General features: G+C 32.9%; 1 long non-coding RNA gene across 1 annotated transcript; it reads right to left on the bottom strand.

Moving 5' to 3' along the window:
• Positions 1-409: 409 nt before the first annotated feature.
• On the bottom strand, positions 410-4,587 carry LOC124903071 (uncharacterized). The gene is made up of 2 exons (XR_007063566.1): positions 4,408-4,587; positions 410-645 (listed from the first exon to the last, which is right to left on the bottom strand). It is a non-coding gene; the product is annotated as an uncharacterized LOC124903071 (long non-coding RNA).
• Between the last annotated feature and the right edge of the window lie 1,751 nt (positions 4,588-6,338).

Here is a 6,338-nt window from a genome sequence, read left to right as displayed (position 1 = left end):
GTTTCTATGTGGTATCTTTCCAATGAGGAGTGATTTAAAAATTATTTTCAGGTGTTACTTGGCTTGCTTAGAAAGAGTTCTCGTCAATATATAAAAATGGCATGTTGGCCCATTTAAAATTAGTCCAAGTTCCAAATGTAGGTTAGAAATGAGCTGTGTGTAAATAATGCTCCCAAAGTACATTTTTACAGTGTAATAAGTGATGTTATTCACTGGGAACATTTTGACACTTCTACATTTGGCAAACAGTGGCAGCTCATTTTAAATCTACCTGCTTTTAGAAATAGCAACTGGTGATTTTGAAGATGGCTGAATTTGCTAAAGTCATTCAATAAACAAACTGTTGCAAATCATTTTGATGCACACAGTGAAAGGTCAGAATTCCAAAGCAAACACACAACCAAATACATTTCCAGGCAGTGATTGTGTAAAGTTTATTAAGAGAAGCAAAATGGATAAAAATTGTATGAGAATATGCAAAGGTAAATGTTCTCTAGGCTGCCTTGTTTTCCTTGTCTGCATCTTAAACTTCGAGCATGCTGGAATACTGAAAACATAAACTCTTTCCAATTAATTTAATACAGGATCATAATAGGTAGTTCACCCCCTTCTAATGGCAAGCTGCCAGTCAGAACCAGTTGATCCCTATTAAAATGAAATAAAAACAAAACTAGTGTCAATATTTGGGTAAAAACACAAATGAGAAAGAAAAACAATCTCCTTATAATTAAATTAATTGTAAACATGAATATTTCAGACTATACAAAAATATAAAGTGATTCAATCATTTAAATAGACCTGCAAAACAAAGAAACTTCTAGAAGCACATGGAGCTGCATGCCTTTTTGTATAATTATAACAACTGTTATTTTTGGAGCTTTGGGATGTATTGAATACTTTAATGTCCATTATTTTATTTACTCATTTATTCCTTTATTCAGCATGAATTTGCTGGGTACCTACTGTAAAAATTTAAAGGTGAGTTATAAATAAAGCCTTGGTGCTATTAACATATATATGGTATTGAAATTAGAAGATGGGATGAGTACTTCTCAGGTGATTACATATTTAGAATGAAACAGGCAAACGGTGGATTGATCAAGATATTCTAAAAATGATATTAAGTATTTTAGTTTATGGATAGAATTTACAGCAAAGAACAAAAATAATAAATGAGTGTGGATTTTTAAAAATTAAGTATATCAAGAGTGCAACAAAGAGGAGGGTGAGTATATAATGAATAAGTTCAGTACGATAAAGACTTCAAGTTTGACTTTCATATTTTAAGCTACATGCTGACACTGGAAAAGTAATAAAAATCTGTAGTAGTTTATAATTAGATATGGATAATGTGTATTAGACAGCAAGAGGGCTGAATGATCAGCCTTCAGGTAATCTGTACATTGCCCATTGGATTAGGTGACTGGTTCAAGAATAGGCATGTTATCTAATTTCAGTCAATTGTAGATCTCTTAAAGTATTTTCAAATAGAAACAATAAAAAAAGAATTATCTCTACTCTGGTGGTGATGAGAGCTGTATGTAACATATTGATTATAAAAATAGCCAGAAAACATCATTCCTTCTCTATCCATACTTTGCAATCAGTCTTTCCAATAAGAAAAGAAAGATATTTCAATAATCTTTGAATTTAGGCTGGCCTTCTGACTTAATTTAGCAAATACAATGTGGGAGTATAGTATAGATGAAGAGCCAGTTCTGATCCTAGAACTGAAGAGGTCTTTCACATTTTTAATTTTTGTCTTGTATCTGTGTCTCCATAAAAACAAACCTGGATAGCCTGCTGGATAATGGAAGAATATAACCTGCTGTCGAAGAGAATCAAAAACTTGAAAGCATTCCCCCTGAGAACTGGAACAAGCCAAGGATGCCCACTTTCACCACTTCTATTCAACATAGTACTGGAAATCCTAGACAGATAAATCAGATAAGAGAAAGAAAGAAATGGCATCCAAATTGGAAAAGAGGAAGTCAAACTATTGCTGTTCAAAGATGATATAATTGTATGCCTAGAAAACCTAAAGAATCATCCAAAAAGCTCTTAGATCTGATGAATTAATTTAGTCAAGTTTTGGGATATAAAATCAATATACACAAGTTAGTAGCTCTGTTATATGCCAAAAACAATCAAGCTGAGGGTCGAGTCAATAACTCAATCCCTTTTGCAACAGCTGCAGAAACAATAAAATACTTAGGAATATACTTAACCAAGGAGGTGAATGATCTCTGCAAGGAAAACTACAAAACACTGCCAAAAGAAATAATAGATGACACAAAGAAATGAAAACATATCCTATGCTCATGGATGGATAGAATCAATATTGTGCAAATGATCACATTGCCAAAAGCAATCTACAAATTAAATGCAATTCCCATCAAAATACCATCATCATTCTTCAAAGAACTAGTAAAAGCAATCCTAAAATTTATATAGAACCAAAAAAAAAAAAAAAAAAAAGCTCACATAGCTAAAGCAAGACTAAACAAAAAGAACAAATCTGGAAGCATCACATTACCAGACTTCAAATTAAACTACAAGGCTATAATTACCAAAACAACATGGTACTGGTATAAGAATAGGCCTGTAGACCAATGAAACAGAATGGAGAATGCAGAAATAAAGCCAAATACTTATAGCCAATTGATCTTCAAGAAAGCATGAAAAACATAAACTGGGATAAGGACACCCTATTCAATAAATGGTGCTGGGATAACTGGCAAGCCACATGTAGAAGAATGAAACTGGATCCTCATTTCTCACTTTAGATAAAAATCAACTCAAGATGTATCAAAGACTTAAATCTAAGACCTGAAAAAAATTCTAAAAGATAACATTGGTAAAAGTCTTCTAGACATTGGCTTAGGCAAAAAATTCATGACTAAGAGCCCCAAAGCAAAGGCACCAAAAACAAAAACAAATAAATGGGACCTACTTAAACTAAAAAGTTTCTGCACAGGAAAATAAATAATCAGCAGAGTAAACAGACAAGCCACAGAATGAGAGAAAATATTTGCAAACTATGCATCTGACAAGGACTAGTATCTGGAATCTATAAGGAACTCAAAGCATCAAGAAAAACACAAATAATCACATCATAAAGTGGGCAAAGGACATGAATAGACAGTCCTCAAAAAAGATATTTAAATAGCTAACAAATATGAAAAATGCTCAACATCACTAATTATCAGGGAAATGCATATTAAAACCATAATGAGCTACCACTTAATATTATGTTTATTAATATTATATTAATATTTTCAATATTAAGCAATTTTAAACTTTCAATTTCTCTTTTGTGCGTATATGTATTAGTTAAGGCTTGTTTTGTTTGAAAACAGTAAATCCTAAGTCAAACTTAAGTGAAAAAATATTATTAATGGAGGCTTATAAGAGGGCTTCATATATTTGCTACTAGGAAAATAGTAGCATTCCAGACCTCAAGCACATCCTGTTTGTACTAAAATTTTCCCAAAGCTCCTTCTCCATATCTTCTATTTTCTTATATCTATGTATATCAGCATAATTTTTCTTTTCACGTATGCAGGATTACCTCCACGTACTGTACTAAAGTCTTGCGTATTTTATTGGACTAGATGAACTAAAAATTATATAAAAAAGAAATTGTGGGGTCAGGGAGAAGACTGAAGGCTGAAGTTGTATCATCTCATTTGGCTCTCTGCCATAATTTAATTCAACAATCATTCCCACGTTTGGACTTGTTTTATTTCTAGGTAAATCTATATGTTGCAAAATTGTATTCTATCCCTAAAGGTCTACAATTGTATACTGCAAGTAGTTGAAGATTTAAGCCTCCTCTTTCCTTACAGTGGGAAAAAGTGCAAATGCTTCAATTTTTAAAAGCATCATGTGTTCCATAATAAGAAAAATTGGAAATGTTTTCTATCTTTTTAACATGCACTATCAATTAAATTATTATTTTTCTTAAACATGATTTGTGTTCAAAGTTAAGTTAACCTTTCTTTGAATTTTGAACAACTTTTGGTCTTTCCCATTGAAAAAAATATTTTAAATTCTTTTTCATTTCCTATTCAACTCCATGAACATTGAGATAACATAAATATTTGTTTGTACTTGTTATTGTAGCTGACAATTATAGTACCTGCAAACTCATCATAACTTGTTTAAAAATTTAATGTATATATTAATTTTTTACTATTAAGAAGTATATGAAAAAAGAATTAGAATTAGTTCCCCATAAACATTTCAAACATATTTCATCTTAAGTGGTGCACTGCCTGTAGCAGTGCAATAGCTCCCAGTTTTTTCAAGAATGAGGACATATTTTAATGTTAATTCACATGTGATAATAAGTTATTTTATTTATTTATCATGCAAATCATGTTTGATAGATAAATTGCTGAATACCTTAGAGTAACTCCGTACTTCTCATTAACCCTGTGGTCCAGAGTCAATAAGTAAGCAATCACTCCTATTGTTGGAACTCCTTGCAGTCAGAAGTATGAATACAGAATCAGCATTCCTTCACTTGAACCCGGGAAGGGGAGGTTGCAGTGAGCCGAGATTGTGCAACTGCACTCCAGCCCCTGCACTCCAGCCTGGGTGACAGAGAGACGTCTCAAAACAAAACAAAGCAAAACAAACAGAATTAGCATTACTAAAAATTTCAAATTGTCTTGAACAAGTCGTCATTCAAACTTCATAAGCTTTGGAAAGTAAGCCCACTGATAATCTGCAAGTTCCTCTCCTGTACTGTGATACTACAAATAAGGAACTTGACAGATATTTTTGTACATGTGCCACAGAGTAACACAGGAACATTGTGATTATTAGCTTAGCATCCATTCCATCATAGAGCAGGCATATGGTTTGGATAGGATTTATACTACTACCAGCTCCTGTATTGGATTCTAAGCCATTATGAGCATTAACATCTCCATTATAACAGAGATTTAGTCAAGTAGTTCAAGAATTGGCCAACCACATGGAATTTCTCTGTTCTTCAGGGGTGGCCCATTAGTATAAAACTTAATAATTATTTGAGATACAGAAACTCTGTCTAAATGATGTAAAGTACAAACATGAAAGCTGAAATAAAAGCAGTCAGTTATCCATGTTACTGACAAGATTTCAACTAAAATGGCAAATAGAAAAGAGCAGAGCTAAGAAAATCATAAATAAATAAAACTGGATTCCTGGTCAAACCAGGCCAAAACCCCACCCTGTCTCTGGACATTTAATTATTGAACTAATAATATTTATTTCTGTTCTTTGTCAGCTAGAGTTGTGTTGTCTTTTGTATTTAAAAGCATTCTGGCCGGGTGCAGTGGCTCACGCCTGTAATCCCAGCACTTTGGGAAGCCGAGGCGGGTGGATCACGAGGTCAGGAGATCAAGACCATCCTGGCTAACACAGTGAAACCCCGTCTCTACTAAAAATACAAAAAGAAATTAGCCGGGCTTGGTGGAAGGCGCCTGTAGTCCCAGCTACTCGGGAATCTGAGGCAGGAGAATGAGGTGAACCCAGGAGGCGGAGCTTGCAGTGAGCCGAGATCGCACCACTGCACCCCAGCCTGGGTGACAGAGCGAGACTCCATCTCAAAAAATAAAATAAAATAATATAAAAAAATAAAAGCATTCTGAAGGTTATTGTGAGAAATAAATATGGACAGATTTCTAAAAAACTACAATAAAAGTTTGTTTATTAAATGTTTATAATGTTTGCCATATCACAGCTACATATAGAAAGTCTTAAGAAAATAGAGTTGACTTGCTAGGAATATTAATCTCTATTGAGCAATTACTATATGACAAGCATGCTAAATATTTTCACTTCCATTCTTTTATTTAAATTCATAACAATAAGATCACCATCAACTAGTGATAATAAATAACATCTAAAATTAAACTGTTAGTAAACAGCAGAGCTAGGATGTGAATAGTGATCTTTTTTATTTCAAACTGTATTAATTTTCACCATACTACAGTTCTATGAAAGCGCATTACAGGTATCTGCCACTATGCCTAGAAAATGTATTTCCATATACAAATGTATATCTTAGCAGATGTATATGTGGTGGATATACATACTTGCTAATGTTATGAACATAGAGTATGGCACTAGATTTTTCACTTTAAAAAGACAGCATGAGTTTACCTACATAACAAACTTGCCATGTACCCCGATCCTAAAAAAAGTTAAAATATTATTAAAAATAAAGAGAGCACACATTTTATGCATTCATAGAAATAAGTAAGAGTCAATAATAGAAAGGTATACATATTTTAATAGTCTTTTGCTTGTGTTCCCAACAGGATAAGTTATTGACAATGAAACAA

Source organism: Homo sapiens, chromosome 12, assembly GCF_000001405.40.
Source record: "Homo sapiens chromosome 12, GRCh38.p14 Primary Assembly".
Classification (NCBI taxonomy): Eukaryota; Metazoa; Chordata; class Mammalia; order Primates; family Hominidae; genus Homo; species Homo sapiens.
This window is presented reverse-complemented; position numbering and strand designations above follow the sequence as displayed.